The sequence below is a fragment of the Homo sapiens genome, chromosome 3 (assembly GCF_000001405.40).
Source record: "Homo sapiens chromosome 3, GRCh38.p14 Primary Assembly".
NCBI lineage: Eukaryota > Metazoa > Chordata > Mammalia > Primates > Hominidae > Homo > Homo sapiens.
The window spans coordinates 186,608,453-186,625,770 of NC_000003.12; the positions used below are offsets into that span (position 1 = coordinate 186,608,453).

A 17,318-nucleotide genomic window follows, 5' to 3' on the forward strand; every position below is an offset into this window, starting at 1 on the left:
AAATCCCAACCTGTCTCCACAGGAAAATATGATAATTTGTATAATAATATTATGATAGTTTCATATATTAACATAAAGTTCTTTGCTGATCAGGCATTGCCGGACTAAATGAGTCAAGATGAGCTCCTCCAGAGCATGTGGTTCTCATCACTCTGTGTCCAGGCATCTGATAACACAGATAGTAGGTGCTCAATAAATGTTTGTTCATTGAACATATGAATGAAGAAACACCCAGTCTTTGAGTGAAATTAATACCCAGTCTATCAGGGCCTAGGCCCTTTAAGTACCAGAAAGGGCAGAGCCATGAACCTGACCTAATGATTTAAAAACCAACCACTGCTATTTCCTCCCTACAGAAACCAGTTGTCCTTCTGGCTTTTGCTGACAGGCACTTTTTCATCTTCTGTTTTGTGAGAGGCTGGTTTCTAGCTATCACCTTAGCTCTTGCTGCCTGACGGGATATTTCATATCTTTCTATATCTATCCTCTCCCTCCTATACCCACATCCACTAATGGAACCAACCTCTGAGAAACTCTGACCCTGAGCTCTGACCCTGGTGATCTTTGTTGTTGTGGCTCCTGGCCTGCAACTATAAACACTGAATTCTGCCTTGGAATAGTTTAAATACAACACTTGCCCTAGTGGCTCCCTGGCAAAGAGTCCTTTTGACAAATTCAGGAACCCTGGTGCCATCCTTAGCTGCTGCTCTACTTTGGATGTTTGTCCCCCCACGTCTCATGTTGAAATGTAATCCCCAATGTTGGAGGTGGGGCCTAATGGGAGGTGTTTGGGTCATGGAGACAGATCCCTCATGAAGGGCTTGGTGCCATCCTGGTGGTAATGAATGAATTCCTGCTATATTATTTTCCGTGAGAGCTGGTTGTTAAAAAAAGAAAGAAAGAAAGAAAAAGCCGGGCATCTCTCCTCTCTCTCACCAAGAGCTTGCGCACGCCAGCTCTTCTTTGCCTTCCGCCATGAGTGGAAGCAGCCTATAGCCCTCACCAGAAGCAGATGCCGGTGTCATGCTTCTTGTACAGCCTGCGAACCATGAGCCAAATAAACCTCTTTTCTGTATAAATTACCCAGCCTCAGGTTTTTCTTTATAGAAACACAGATGGACTAAGACAGCTGCCATCTTGAGATTTCTGCCATCAGCCACACAAGGGTTGCACCCAGCAAGCACTGCCCGGCACCCTGCTGCCATCTCCTGGAGATTGTTGATCCTCTCCTGCTCCTTAGACTGTTGGGCCTGCTCTCCTTGACCAGTTCTAACAAGCCCTTGATATCCTCAATACACTATCAGCCATCATAGTGTGAATGGAATGAGGATTATTTTATTGCTGTGATGTGAGCCTCATAGAAAAATGCACAGAAAAGTAACTAAAATAATGCAGCAAAGGACCAGAAAATGGAGGAAATGCCTATCTCCTACTGATATGCAAAGAAGCTGGAGCCAGTTGGATCAAACTGACCCAAGATTACTCATGAGTATATGTATTCAGCACGTGAAGATCACTCATGAGTCCCATATACATTTGGCAAGTGAGAATCTTTTAAAGTTTAAAACTGGTGTCATCAGGCACAGGGAACTACCCATTGGCACTAATGCTACAGCCATCTTGGAAAACATACCAAAATATCATCTATTTTCTTCCTCATTTCCAGTAAGTAAATGGCAACATTTCTTTCTAAGGAAACTGAAAAAATCTAAGGGATCATTTTACTCAGCTTGATACCAAAGTTATTTTAGTTTATAAGTATTAGACATATGGAGTAGCTGTGATAAAAGCAAAGATATTCATAAATTACATTTTTAAAAAAGAATTCTGAGAGTGTTCACATATCTAAGTTCCCACAAAAGTCAGCATGAAAGCAGTAACAGAGGAAAAGAGAAAACAGCTGAGCTGACATCACACAACAGCTAAATGGAAGGGGGATAAATTGGCATAGCCAAATAGACTATTTGACTATAAAAATTAAGAGCTTTAAAAATGTGCAAATCATTAGAATCAATAATTTTACTTCTAAAAATCTATCCTGAAAAAAAGAATCAAAAGCCAAAGATTCCTAAATAAAAAAGTGTGTTTTTTTGTTTTTTTGTTTTTTGTTTTTTTTTTGTTTTTTTTTGTTTTTTGTTTTGAGACAGAGTCTCACTCTGTTGCCCAAGCTGGAGTGCAGTGGCACAATCTCCCCTCACTGCAACCTCTGCCTCCCAGGTTCAAGTGATTCTCCTGCCTCAGCCTCCCAAGTAGCTGAGATTACAGGCGTCCAGCACCACGCCCAGCCAATTTTTTGTATTTTTAGTAGAGATGGGGTTTCACCATGTTGGCCAGGATGCTCTCTATCTGTTGACCTCATGATCCACCTGCCTTGGCCTCCCAAAGTGCTGGGATTACAGGTGTAAGCCACCGTGCCTGGCCTGTAAACATGTTTTTAAGTCTACTTAATGACATAGGAAAATATTCAAGTTAAAGCAATAGGTGAAAAAATTTTAACAGCTGTATATGCAGTATAATCAAAATTATATTAAAATATTATTTTACATAGAAAAAAAGAAAAGATATAAATGCATCAAAACATTAACACTGTTTATCTCTGCATGATGAGATTGTGAATGATTTCTTTTTTGAGACAGAGTCTCATTCTGTTGGCTGGGCTGGAGTGCAGTGGCACTATCATAGCTCACTGCAACCATAGCCTACTCCAGGTCTTATGCTATCATCCTGCCTTCATAGTTGGGATTACAGGTGTGTGCCACCTTACCACACTTTATTCAATTTTTCTTTTTTTTGAGTCGGAGTCCCACTCCGTTGCCAGGCTGGAGTGCAGTGGCGCAATCTTGGCTCACTGCAACCTCCACCTCCTGGGTTCAAGTGATTCTCCTGTCTCGGCCTCCCGAGTAGGTGGGACTACAGGCGCGCGCCACCACGCCCAGCTAATTTTTGTATTTTTAGAAGAGACAGGGTTTCACTGTGTTGGTCAGGTTGGGCTCAATCTCTAGGCCTCGTGATCTGCCCACCTCAGCCTCCCAAAGTGCTGGAATTACAGGTGTGAACCACCGTGCCCAGCCCTTCAATATTTTTAAAGATTATATAAAGAAAAGCATAGCTTCCACACACAGTTCAGGAGTCAGGGCCCTGAGTGAAATGGAGTATAAGGTGATGGAAGATTGCCCCTGGCTTTGAGGATCATCTTGCTGGATGACCAGAGTTTGTTTTTCATCTGGAAGAATCATGGTCCCCCTCTTGGAGAGAACCTGGAGTCCTGGCCACACCTTCTGAGCTTCTGACATTAAGATTCGGTGTGGTGTGTGAGCAGCTGGGAGTAAATGTGAGAACAGTCCTGCCAACTACCTTCTCTGCCCCATCACCACTCACTTCACCTCCCTCACCCCGATTCTCACCCCAGAAAATCAATATTAAGCTTCCCTTTGGAGGGGCCCCTCTTCTTTCTTTTTTTTTTAACCAGTTTTTTTTTCTCTGAAGCAATATCAAACATTAGAACAAATTCACCCACACACAATGATGGCCTCTAAATATTTGAAGACCATGTTGGTCTCCATGAGAGGGCTTCTTTGCTTCAGACTAAACCAAACCAGGTCCTTGTGTGATATTTCCCAAGCCTCTCTTTATCCTGCCAACCCTCCTTGGATGTCACACTTGGAATTGTCAAGGGTCACTTAATAGGCAGTGCCTGGAGTCAACACTGGCCCTCTGTTCTGGCCAGAAAGACACACTGTAATTCTGCTGAGTCTGCAAAGAATGTTCAAGGGGTATTTGTGTCCGTAGCTGCTCGTGCAGCATCTCAGCCTGCGGTGTCAGACTCGAACCCAGAGCTGTGTCAAATGAGTCAGGACTCCCCTCTGCTGCCCTTGTGCACTGGCAGGGGCACTAGGTTACTAGTGCTAGGAGACTCTGGTCAGTGCCCATCTGTGCTGTCACATGCAGGGCCCTGGCAGTGAGGTCTGGAGAAGGAAGAGAAGGGGCAGGGAACCCCACACGTTTTGCTGGTCATTTCCCACCGTGGTCCTGCCACGGGAACCCCCTTCTTCCACCTCCATTCCCCACTTTAGGCAGAAACATCTCTCATCCTTTTTCTTTTCTCCAAGAATCTTCCCCCAAAATCTTGGCATCTCCTATACACATCTGTACCTTTGCTATATCTGTGGGCCTTGTTCTCCCTGTAGGACTCCTCTTGGAAAGCTAACTCCCCCTGACATTGGAGAATTTTATCAAATTGCTGAGTATCCTCCCTTCCCTCTCACAGACCCCATGGCATGCTCAGATCACAGTAGAAGACATTTCCTCTGCTGCCAAACCCATGGCACTCTGAGGCTGACTGTGTCCACCTCATTCCCTCAGCTGTCTTCTCTTTGCTGCTATTACCATGTTCCAAGCAGACTTTGGAGCATCTCCCCCACAGCAGCATGGACTTTGGCAGATTTCTTGGGGACCAGCGATGTCCTAACCTGTTTGCTTTTCCAGGGCTGATGTTTGCAGGGTGTTTTTTTTTTTCTTTTGAACCAAAGCAGAAATCATCCTGTATCCTTATGCAATTCTTCCGGCAGGCTCCAACAGATAAATAAAGCCCACCACCCTCCATGGGTCTACCTTTCCCAGCAGAGCACCTGGGTTGGTCCCGAAGCCTCCAACCACCTGCACGCCTGCCAGGGCCTCTCTGGGGCAGCCATGAAGTCCCTCGTCCTGCTCCTTTGTCTTGCTCAGCTCTGGGGCTGCCACTCAGCCCCACATGGCCCAGGGCTGATTTATAGACAACCGAACTGCGATGATCCAGAAACTGAGGAAGCAGCTCTGGTGGCTATAGACTACATCAATCAAAACCTTCCTTGGGGATACAAACACACCTTGAACCAGATTGATGAAGTAAAGGTGTGGCCTCAGGTAAGTGGACCTGCTGTCTATGAGCTGAAATAATGTGTACATGGAGCTCAATCAGGTGCCTCAAAAAATCACCATCACCCAGTGCAAATGAAACCACAGAGGAGTAAATTCTCTGATTTCTTCCCAGGAGTGAGGGAAGGGGCAGGCAGAGGGCAGGAGAGGAGACATTCTGTATGGCAGTCATGGGTGTCAGGAGGGAGCTGGGTGGGGTGTGAGGTGGTGTGCAGGAGAAAAAGTGCTTCAAATGGTAGTGTGCAGATCACAGACAGAAAGTGTAACTTGCTGGAAAAACTAGGACCCAAGAGACCAGCTCCTAGTTGCCAAGTTACCACTGGCTGAAAATCACGTATCTGTCTTTGGTTTGGTTTCTCTCTAACAAAGACTGAGAATGAATAAAACTAGCATCTGGCAGATGCCTACTATATGCCAGGCCCATTCACATAGATTATCTCATTTACTCTTTCCCGGTCCTGCCTCCTGGTGCTGTGTGGTACATATATTGTTCTTGTCTTACCCAAGAGGAGACCAAGGCTCTGTTGTGTGTGTGTGTGCAGTTTTTTTGTTTTTTGTTTTTGTCTTTTTTTTTTTGGTCCAAAATCATATAATTACTAAGTCTTCAGGCTGGGATTTGATTCCATATCTGTGTTCCTTCTTCTACACAAACTGCCTCCCAAAGAGAGTTACCCACATCCCAGAGAGAAGTCTTGGCATAAACACAATTCACCTCCTCACACACTAGACAGGAAACCAACGCAGCTTGAAGCCAGTGACAAGAAAAATCAAGCTGGAAATATGCCTCGGGGATCAGTCAAGAGATTTGGAGAGGTGGAAAGAAGCTGTCTGCCTACTGCCTGTTTTGAAATTAGATTTATTTCTGATTAAGGACAATTCTTTCAGCAAATATGTATTACAAGCCTTCCTTGGACAAGAACCAGAGATATTAGGTTGAACCATATAAAACTGCCATTTTTCTATATCAAAAGCAACCAAATATTGGCCGTTTTAATGGTTCAACCTAATACAGTGGTGAAAAAGGCACAATATGTGCCCACAAGAGCTTACAATCTAGGTTGGAAAATAAGGTCAACAACAGGAAGCCTGGACCGACTGACGACTGCCATCCGTCTCACAAAGAGACAAAATATTTGAAATCAGGATTGCTCCGGATGGATTTTAAGAGTGCTGCAGCCATATTAAAGCACAGTGGTGGTTAGGAGGAAACGCTGATCAAGTCAGGGGAAATGAACACGCAACACGCACATCTGAGGGAAAAGGTAATCATGAATGGGCATTGTGACTTTTACTAAAGGCAGAGCTTCAGAGTTGGTTCCCTTGAGAAACCCAGGTGTACCCGGTTCCTGTTCGCCAGAGCTGTGAACGCTTTCAGGCAGTCACTCTGGGCACACCTGGACATCATAAAATGCGGAGCTTCTCCCAGGGGAGGGGATGCTGAGGCTTCAGGTACTAGTGAATCAGGCAGAACCAATGAGAGGCAAACAGAGCTGGGCTGAGAGGAGAAAAGGCATACTTGTACCTTCTGGATTTTTCAGGCTTCGAAGACAAGATACAGAAACAGGTGAACTCACAAGAATATCTCCAAGGATTGTTGCAAGCTCCCTCGTGTCTACACTAGTGACATCCAGTTTCCTGTCAGAGGGAGACATGCCCTTCCCCATTATCGCCAGCAGGGGGAAGTAGAGAGCAGCATCGTTGCATGCCGGCACCTGCTGCACAAGCCAAGACAAAGGAAAAACCAAGGACAACAGCAGCAAAAACCTCTAGGAGGGAAAAGAAAACGGAGGAAGGAAGGAAAGCAAATAATGAAAAGGAAGAAAGAAAGAAGGAGAGGGAGGGATAGAGGAGATTAAAAAAAGACAGTAAGATATTACCCTACACCACCTTATTTTGCAGCTTGTCTGAGAAAAATCCAAACTTGCATTTTCCAAAGCACTGCTTGAAGAGTGAAATCTTAAAAAATTAAATAAATAATAAATACAAATAAGTGTTAACACCCATTTGTAGTTTTCAAATAGAGCTCAGAGTGAGGGCTGTGGCTCCATCGACTTGTTCAAGCCCAGGACCCCGTCTGCTTTGCGAGCATCATCTGGTGCTTCCTTAATCAACAGACGAAGACCAGACAAGCCCTGGTCATTGTCCTGCCCACAGGCCAGTTCAGAGCTAGACGGAGTTGCAGACTGACAGTAAGAATGACATTTCCCTCACCTCTCCAAAAGCGGGGTGCTCTCAAGCCCAATGAGGGCGCATACCGTGGACCGCACCACAGGATCAGGGGAATAGGTTGCTCACGGCTTCACTCTTTGTCTCCACAGCAGCCCTCCGGAGAGCTGTTTGAGATTGAAATAGACACCCTGGAAACCACCTGCCATGTGCTGGACCCCACCCCTGTGGCAAGATGCAGCGTGAGGCAGCTGAAGGAGCATGTGAGTACCCTTCTTAGGATGACTGTAGGTGGCCCTTCGGCCAGCTCCACCGATTCACCCAGCGTCTCAGCCTGCCTTCTTGGCTAGCCAGGGTGCAGTTTCTAAAATTGCCATTTGTGGCCGAGCGCAGTGGCTCATGCCTATAATCTCAGCACTTTGGGAGGCTGAGGCAAGTGGATCGCCTGAGGTCAGGAGTTCAAGACCAGCCTGGCCAGTATGGTGAAACCCCATCTCTACTAAAAATACAAAAATTAGCTGGACGTGGTGACGGGCACCTGTAAATCCCAGCTCCTCGGGAGGCTGAGGCAGGAGAATCGCTTGAACCCGGGAGGTGGAGGTTGCAGTGAGCCAAGATCCTGCCATTGCACTCCAGCCTGGGCAACAACAGTGAATCTCTATCTCGAAATAATAATAATAATAATCATCATCATAAATAAAATTGCCATTTGATGCCACTTGCCCTGGGGCTGATTTTTACAAGCGTTTAACTATATCGTTGTATCCCTGAAAGCAGAGAGTGCCATGTTTCAGTATTACCCAGCAAAGGCGATTTTGCAAGGGTCACCTTTGACAGCCGTGCCTGGAGGGAGCCTGCCCGGGGTGCGAAGGGGAAGGGCAGCCATCCTCACGTGGGTTTCTTTCTCCAGGCTGTCGAAGGAGACTGTGATTTCCAGCTGTTGAAACTAGATGGCAAGTTTTCCGTGGTATACGCAAAATGTGATTCCAGTCCAGGTACAGATGACTATTCTTATTCTCATTTTTTCCTTGTAGAGAAAGTGGGGAAGGGATCTGAATAATTTTCAACTTAAGTAGTTCTAGCAGCTTTGTCGGTGAGGAAAAGGAGAAGCCAAATTTCCTGGGTTCTGGGATTTTTAAAATTGTGTTTTAAGAAGCTACTCTTGGCCTGGTGCGGTGGCTCACGCCTGTAATCCACCCACCCGAGGCAGGTGGATCACCTGAAGTCAGAAGTTCGAGACCAGCCTGGCCAACATAGTGAAACCCCCATCTCTACTAAAAATACAAAAATGTGGTGGTGCTCGCCTGTAATCCCAGCTACTAGGGAGGCTGAGGCAGGAGAATCGCTTGAACCTGGGAGGCAGAGGTGGCAGTGGGCCGAGATCGCACCACTGCACTCCAGCCTGAGTGACACAGAGTGAGACCCTGTCTCAAAAAAATAAGAAGTTATTCTTACTGGAAGTGAAAATTGCCTCGTGATGATAAGAGCTCCTGCAGAAATGTCAGCATAGCAAAAGCCTTTTGAAGGTTTAGTAAGAAGCAGAGAAAGTGCCTGAAGCTATCTGGGGAATGCCTTAGCCCTTGCTAACGCAGCAGAGCTGGGGCCATGCCAGGGAGAATGGCTGCCCACATCCTGGTTTCCTCTCTCCGAGCAGACTCAGCCGAGGACGTGCGCAAGGTGTGCCAAGACTGCCCCCTGCTGGCCCCGCTGAACGACACCAGGGTGGTGCACGCCGCGAAAGCTGCCCTGGCCGCCTTCAACGCTCAGAACAACGGCTCCAATTTTCAGCTGGAGGAAATTTCCCGGGCTCAGCTTGTGGTAAAGACTGAGATTCTTTTGACAGGTTGGGCAGTTCGGTGGCACTTCGGGAATGTACTGTACGTGGTGGAGCGGGAGGCAGGGAAGAACAGGCGCAGGGGCAGCGATGAGAAAGCAAGGAGAGGGTTGTTTGGAAAGGGAAGAAAGCATCCTAAGGGGGTATGAGGCTCCTGAGTGTCATGAGGACCCCAACACCCTCAGCGCCTCCCCCATGCTGAGCCACTGTAACGTCCAGCAGCCACAGCTGCCGGCAGGTACATCCCCACTCCCTCCGTTCCAGCTAAAACCAAAGCTCAGTGTCAGCTGGTAGAGTTGCCCACGTCGGCCAGAAGCACTCACTGTAAATTTGCTGGGCTCCAGTACCACCCATCTCCGCTGAACATCTGCCACAGACTCGTAATTAATACTCACTTGTGCTGACAAGCTTATAATGGCAAGATCTTAAAATGCCTTTCGAGTCACTGGAGAAAACATCTCATTGTACTGTGGGTGGTTTAGCACATTGGAATTCAACAGAATTCAAATGTTTAAGAAAATGTATTCTGGATATCAGCCATGGCCATACTTGGAAATACGCTAGTATAGACGGCAATTCTATTAATCAGAATATGTGATTCTCAGAACATCCCCACCCCAGACTACACCAAATAACAGATATTTTATTGTGTCCATATGCTCCAACTACTTTAAAAAAGAAAAGCTCAAGTGATATCTTCCATACTTTCATCTAAATCTTTTCATTTGAGCCTGCTCTATGAAACAGGTGGAAGAGGTATTAATCTCTTCACTTTCCCACCCTATTTTGGAATAACCTGAACCTTGGGTATCAAGTGCAGCCCAAGAGTGAGGGCTGGGGGGAGGCAGGGTTCCCACTCCTATCAGTCTAATGCTGGCCTTCTGATTCCGGTTTCCTATCTGCAAACTCACCTCCACCCTGAAGGACCGGTGATGGATACTTGCCCCTCCTACAAGGAAGACACAACCCCTACCTCTAAAGCACAAGCACTTGAGAACACAACCCCATAGCAACTGCCCTATGTAAGCCATTGAGGGACATGTCTTCTGGGCCGACGCATGGTCTGCATGAATGGTGCTCCCCGAAGGAGGCTACTTCCCGCTCTCCTTCTCTGCCCTTTTCATTGTAAGTCATCTTTCCTCAAGAGCATTTTCATGTACTCTTCTCAGCCCCTCCCACCTTCTACCTATGTGGAGTTTACAGTGTCTGGCACTGACTGTGTTGCTAAAGAGGCCACAGAGGCAGCCAAGTGTAACCTGCTGGCAGAAAAGGTGAGTGGGCCGGGACCTTGGGGTGTTACCACTCGGACAGAGCTGTTTGTGGAACAGAACATCCTTGGATAGTTTGTATCTTGGGGCTGCAGACAGAGAATAACAGTGCAAATCCCCTCTCCCTGTGGATCACGGCAAGCCTTCTTTTAGGGTGTCACCTCATCCCTTTAAGAGCTGTCATCAAATCATCTCACCCACTGGAAGCACATGAAGTTAGGAGAAAGAGAGAGGCTATTTGCTAATGAAGCCAAGTCACGCCCACCCACTGGGAATGTGAAGTGCACATTTTCTAGACATATAACTCTGATACAAAAGCTTTCAAGTCCTTGAGCCAATAATGTACACTTCTAGGATTTTAGTCTAAAGAAGTCATCAGTGGCCAGGCATGATGGCTCATGCCTGTAATTCCAGCACTTTGGGAGGCCAAGACGGGTGGATCGGGAGGTCAGGAGATCGAGACCATCCTGGCTAACATGGTGAAACCCCGTCTCTACTAAAAATACAAAAAAATTAGCCAGGCTTGGTGGTGAGCGCCTGTAGTCCCAGCTACTCGGGAGGCTGAGGCAGGAGAATGGTGTGAACCCAGGAGGCAGATGTTGCAGTAAACTAAGATCGTGCCACTGCACTCCAGCCTGGGCAACAGAACGAGACTCTGTCTCAAGAAAAAAAGAAAAAGAAAAAGAATTCATCAGTGACATTTGACAGAATATATCTATAAAAATGATTTATTATGGATATAAAGAGACCAAAAAAGAGAGATCTGTATGTCCAACAGGAAGGTGTCATTGAATAATCCATGCACATCAGTAAATAGAAAATTGTGCAGACACTAAAAATTGTGTTTTCAAGGAATAATGAATGATATGAGAAAATGCTATTATGGCAAGTGAAAACACACAGGATACAACATCGTATAGTCACAATGATCTCAATTTTTAAATCATATTTAATAGTATTTTAAAATAAGAAAGAAATGCATCAATGTTAACAGTCCTTCTTTCTAGGCCACCACCAGAAAGGGATTATGGGTAATCTCTCTCACTCTCAAAGTATTTCTGTATTTCCATGTTATATATAGAATCATATACCTCCCACAAGCAGAAACTATAACTTTAAGAAAAATGGTTTTTCAAACTAATTTAAGGTTGGCGCGTCAATGAAATTGGGGGGGATCCATTTTTGAAATTAGTTAAAATAAATCCTCTTTCTCTGTGGGCAGCAATATGGCTTTTGTAAGGCAACACTCAGTGAGAAGCTTGGTGGGGCAGAGGTTGCAGTGACCTGCATGGTGTTCCAAACACAGGTAACAGCTCCGTGAATATTCTTGCCTACACCTTCAGAATACAATGACCCCTTCACATTTATGCAGTGCAGTAGTGATGACAGGACATTTGCTCTCCTGTGCTTCTGAATCTCACAGTATGAAATAACACTGGGGTATGCGGAATCATCAACAAATGGAAGGATATTTTAGCTATGCCTTTCCCTCCCACGAACTAGTGACTACAGGGAAGAACCATCTTACTGTGTAGTTGACAAAGCCACCTTTTTATTTGTGGGAGGTGGGAGTGGTTTTCTGAGTTGCAGAGACCAGGTGGCCAGATCTACCTGTTAGCTCCCAGTGGCTGCAGCTTCAGATGACAAAGAGGGTGGCACTGCTGGGCAAGGGTGAGCCATAGGTGGGGTGCTTTTACTCATTGGACATATGCGTGTAAGTCCACCATCACAAAGACAATCCTAGTGAGGCCGGGGCCAACATAGGCCAGTCACCCCTCCTTGTAACCTTGATGACAATCCCTTGTACTTGGGTAGGTCCTTTCTTGCTAGACTCTTTGCAAATAAAAATGTATAATGTGAGGAAATTGGGTGCCAGTGCCACCTGGGCCTGTGGGTTGTCTTGCCTGGGAGGAGGAAGCAAACTAACTGAAGGAAATGGTCCTTTTTCCAGCCCGTGAGCTCACAGCCCCAACCAGAAGGTGCCAATGAAGCAGTCCCCACACCCGTGGTGGACCCAGATGCACCTCCGTCCCCTCCACTTGGCGCACCTGGACTCCCTCCAGCTGGCTCACCCCCAGACTCCCATGTGTTACTGGCAGCTCCTCCAGGACACCAGTTGCACCGGGCGCACTACGACCTGCGCCACACCTTCATGGGTGTGGTCTCATTGGGGTCACCCTCAGGAGAAGTGTCGCACCCCCGGAAAACACGCACAGTGGTGCAGCCTAGTGTTGGTGCTGCTGCTGGGCCAGTGGTTCCTCCATGTCCGGGGAGGATCAGACACTTCAAGGTCTAGGCTAGACATGGCAGAGATGAGGAGGTTTGGCACAGAAAACATAGCCACCATTTTGTCCAAGCCTGGGCATGGGTGGGGGGCCTTGTCTGCTGGCCACGCAAGTGTCACATGCGATCTACATTAATATCAAGTCTTGACTCCCTACTTCCCGTCATTCCTCACAGGACAGAAGCAGAGTGGGTGGTGGTTATGTTTGACAGAAGGCATTAGGTTGACAACTTGTCATGATTTTGACGGTAAGCCACCATGATTGTGTTCTCTGCCTCTGGTTGACCTTACAAAAACCATTGGAACTGTGACTTTGAAAGGTGCTCTTGCTAAGCTTATATGTGCCTGTTAATGAAAGTGCCTGAAAGACCTTCCTTAATAAAGAAGGTTCTAAGCTGAATGTGGTCATGCTTATTGCGACTTCATCCCAGCTCCCCTCACATGCATAGCCTTTTACCCCAACAAACACAGTGTCCCTAATCAAAATCAAAGTGAAAAGAGAACCAAAAGAGAACAAAAACCTGCTGTATTGCCAGATACAGGAAAAAGTGAGACTAGGATCTTTCCACAACCCATAAGATGTGACCATTTCTTTTTTTTTTTTTTTCTGAGACGGAGTCTTACTCTGTCACCCAGGCTGGAGCGCAGTGGCATGATCTTGGCTCACTGCAAGCTCCACCTCCCAAATTCAAATGATTCCCCTGCCTCAGCCCCCTGAGTAGCTGGGACTACAGGTGCGTGCCACCACACCCAGCTAATTTTTTTTATTTTAGTGGAGACAGGGTTTCACCATGTTGGCCAGGATGGTCTTGATCTCCTCAACTCATGATCCACCCACCTCGGCCTCCCAAAGTGCTGGGATTACAGGCGTGAGCCACCGCACCTGGCCAAGATATGACCATTTCTTTATGAGAAAATAATTCTTCTCATTTTATAAGAGAGAGAAAATATTGCTAAAGGTGGGCCAAGCTCCTGAACTTTGTACAGAATAAACTATCCATTGATTTTCTCCAGTACCGAGGTAAGGAGGGATTGGTAATTAAAACAAGATCCTCACTTTATATCTGTTGTTAATTATGTTTAAGATATACGTTGAGTGTACTGTATACACTTCATTTTATAACACAAGATTGGTCTTCCTAGCCAATCTATTTTAAGGACCCAAGTTAAAGCTGTGACTTGTAGTATCATTAGATAAAGGATGCCTGGACAGGTGAATCCCGTGGACATTTGTAGACACCGTCCAAGTGCTCAGATAGCATATGTGAATAAACCCTCCCCATTTTAGCATGGTCCCTGGGCAATTTCAATTTTTGTCCATCAGCATTAAGTTTTTCCGATCTACCTCAGTGATGGGCCCTTTCAGATGGAATTTTAGAGGGCAGGACTGACACCCAGTTGAGTGACTTCACTTTAAACCAAGGAGAATGAATCAAGTGTTGACACTCACCTTATCACTTGTGCCTAGAGGTTTTGCCAATATTCCAGTAACCAAAAGGAAAGGCCAGAAAGGTAAGAAAACCACTAGGTGTCACGGAAGCCAGAGAAGAAGCTATGGGCAGCTGTGCTAAATGCTGTAGAAAGAGCAGTAAGGACGACTGACTCTGAGGTCATGGTGACCACTGGCAGATGCAGTTGCTCTAGGGGCATCCTGGTTGTCAAGAGTTTACTGGTGTTGTTGCTGTAGGGAGACTGGAGAGTGGGCTGTAGCTGGGCAAGAGTAGCCACAGGATAGAAAGTCACTAGAGCTTTCTAGAGAAAAGATTAACATGAGTTGGTCTAAGGTGGTGGGCAGTGGACATGATAAAAAGAGGTTATAATTTGGAGGTAGAACTCCCAAGACCTGCTGATGAATTTGATATGGGAGTGAGAAAGACGTGAAGGATGATGATTCCTGGATTTGTGGCTTTGTGAACTGGATAGATGTGTGTGTGTGTGTGGGGGGGGGGCATTTACTGAGGCAGTGAATTCTAGTTTGTTTCATTTGCATTACCTCAGTTTCCCTCCTCTCCAACTTAAAATTCGTGCAGATGATTTTTCTATGTCTATTTTTCTGTGTCTGGCTAATGCATGCCTTGATCTCATGTCTCTCAAAGAAGCAGTGAAGTCACATAGACCTGCAAAACCTGAGCCAAGCTGCTTCACCTTTCACTTCTTTCTGCCCACATTATACAACCAGACATAGATAACAGCTGATGTACTGGTGTTGGGAGGATTAAATGAGATGCTACAAATTTATGTATGACACCTTCTTGACACATTCTAGGTTCTCAGTAAGTGCCCTCCCTTTCTGCTGCTGCTCCTCATCCTCTGAATTTGGTGGCCTCAGAAGATTATGTTGTTGACCTTCTCTTAAATATGTACTCTGCTTGGCAAGTTTATCCTCTCTCATGATTTAAACTATCATTGTTACCCAGATAACTGCAACTTAATAGCTCCAGATTGGACCTCTTTATTGAATTCTAACATTGCATTTCCAAATACCTTCAGGATTTCCTCACTAGAATTACCTAAAACAGTTTCCTATGTGACTTGTTTCCTCTAAATGATGCATATCTGGAGACAGCATTATTCAAAATGTGCATTATTTTAAAATTACTTATTCCCAATAATAATAGAGAGAATGAGTTACAGAGCTGTTAAATCTACCACCCTTATAGCACATTTTTTGTATTAATGCTGCTCGGTACTTTCTTAACATTATTATTTTACAGAGTGTTCTCTCCTAAATTAATAGCATTACATATGTCTCATTTCTTTGCCTTCTTAGTGGATTTTAATCATGTCTAACACATGTTTCAAAGTTATTGGATTTCAGGTGCATTTTTCCATACTTGTGTCACTACTACCAATTAAGAATATTTGGTGGATGTTAAGATAATACAAAAATTGTCCAGGCACGGTGGCTCATGCCTGTAATCCTAGCACTTTGGGAGGCCAAGGCAGGTGGATCACCTGAGGTTAGGAGTTGGAGACCAGCTTGATCAACATGGTGAAACACCGTGTCTACTAAAAATACAAAGTTAGCCGGGCGTGGTGGTTGCGGTGAGCTGAGATCGTGCCATTGCACTCCAACCTGGGCAACAAGAGCGAAACTCCATCTCAAAAAAAAAAAAAAAAAAATTCTGTACTAGTAGGCTGGCTAGTGAAATGATGTTATCTTCACTCCATTGACTACTTTGCAGAAATTTAAAATCATGTTTATAAAAAAGTAACAATTAAATGTTATTAAAAAGTAACAATTCATATAGAAAAACATTGATAATATATTTTGAAATGAAAAAAGTGGGTTATAAAGTGGTATAATCCTGAATTTCTAAAATTAATTTATATATGTAGACATATTAATATACACATACAGACATAAAAAATTACCAAGTAACAGGAAGAAAAACTAAAATACTAACAGTGGTTATATCTGAATTATGGAATAATGGGGAGCTGCTTTTCTTTGTTGTATTAATGCTTTGTCTTATTTCCTAAACTTTCTATAATGCTCAAGTTTTACTTTCGTAGAAAGATATTTTTATTTTGTTTGTCCAGAATAGGGGTTAGAAAACGTTTTAGTGAAGGACCAGATAGTAAATATCTTTGGTGTTATGGACCATGTGGTCTCTATTTCAATGCAACTCTGCTATTTTAGGAAGAAAGCAACTATAGCCAATATATAAATGAATAGGCATGGCTGTATTCCAATAAAACTTTTATTACAAAATTAGCAGTGAGCTGAATTTGGCCTTTGGCTATAGTTTGCCAGGGTGGCCTAGAACAGTGGAAATAAGGAGAAATCGAGTTGGGGGGAAAAATGGCAGTCAAAGAGTAGATCAGTTTCACATGGAGTTAGATGCTGGTCTCTGGTATCAAGCTGGTCAAGCGAGAAAGAAGTAAGGGTGTTGTCTGTACAGAAGATGAATCCATGTGAATAACGACAAGGTGAAGGTGGAGGGCAGGAGTATAAGCCAGGAGACAAAGATGTTAGCAATACAGAGAGGCCAGTAAGTCAGAAGATGGCAGGAACAGGAAGAGGAAAGTGTCTGCAAGCTAGGTGGCATGGTCCTCAAAGAAAAAGCGTTCTTTTGTTTTGTTTTGTTTTTGTTTTTGTTGTTTTCGCTCTTGCTGCCCAAGCTGGAGTGCAATGGTGCGATCTCGGCTCACCGCAACCTCTGCCTCCCAGGTTCAAGCGATTCTCCTGCCTCCTCCCAAGTAGCTGGGATTACAGGCATGCACCACCATGCCCAGCTAATTTTGTATTTTTAGTAGAGACGGGTTTCTCCACGTTGGTTGGGCTGGTCTCGAACTCCCGACCTCAGGTGATCTGCCCACCTCGGCCTCCCAAAGTGCTAGGATTACTGGTGTGAGCCACAACACCCGGCCGAGAAAAAGGGTTTTATGCGAGCACAGAGGACTAATATCCTGGAAGTAACATTGGAAAATGGGGAGGATACCAATGTTACTAAAAATAAGCATCCATTCCAGAGTTGTTATGGAGAAGTTGTGCTTGAGCAAAAGTGAGACTCAAGTTGAGCACAGAAAATGACTCAATTAGTAGGGCAGGTAGTCTTTTATCCACTATGGAATGGAAATTTCAGAAGGCACGGTGGAAGGATTTGGGCAAAGGAGGCATATCTGATGGTACAGCAAGTCGAGGAAGAGGAAGCAGAAAGCGAAAAGAGATGATACTGCTGAGAAAGGACAGACAACAAAAAGAGTTCTGTTTGAGGCATATCAAGCTTTCAGGAGCTAGGGTCCGGAATGAGTAGGCAGCAGCCTGCCTTGATCGTAGTTTGATGATTCAGGTCAAGACCAGGCCATGGGATGAATGAACTCTCAGGCCCTCAATACAGGAAGCAAT

At 45.1% G+C, this 17,318-nt stretch overlaps 1 protein-coding gene across 4 annotated transcripts; it reads left to right on the forward strand.

Moving 5' to 3' along the window:
• Positions 4,608-12,866, forward strand: AHSG (alpha 2-HS glycoprotein). 4 transcript variants are annotated; one of them, NM_001354571.2, is made up of 7 exons: positions 4,608-4,902; positions 7,233-7,343; positions 7,991-8,075; positions 8,732-8,898; positions 10,084-10,185; positions 11,405-11,488; positions 12,134-12,866. In NM_001354571.2, the coding sequence occupies exons 1-7, from the start codon at positions 4,690-4,692 to the stop codon at positions 12,476-12,478; spliced, it is 1,107 nt and encodes a 368-aa protein (NP_001341500.1). In that variant the 5' UTR covers positions 4,608-4,689; the 3' UTR covers positions 12,479-12,866. The 4 variants fall into 4 exon arrangements, with proteins under 4 accessions (NP_001341500.1, NP_001613.2, NP_001341501.1 ...); NM_001622.4 differs by having other exon boundaries at positions 8,735-8,898; NM_001354572.2 differs by having other exon boundaries at positions 7,236-7,343; positions 8,735-8,898.

Bases quoted from the DNA above. Each gene is read 5' to 3' on its own strand.
- AHSG (NM_001354571.2), top strand. From the start codon at position 4,690: ATGAAGTCCCTCGTCCTGCTCCTTTGTCTTGCTCAGCTCTGGGGCTGC. The intron at 4,903-7,232 runs GTAAGTGGACCT...TTGTCTCCACAG, and splicing joins AAGTAAAGGTGTGGCCTCAG to CAGCCCTCCGGAGAGCTGTT. The intron at 10,186-11,404 runs GTGAGTGGGCCG...CTCTGTGGGCAG, and splicing joins GTAACCTGCTGGCAGAAAAG to CAATATGGCTTTTGTAAGGC.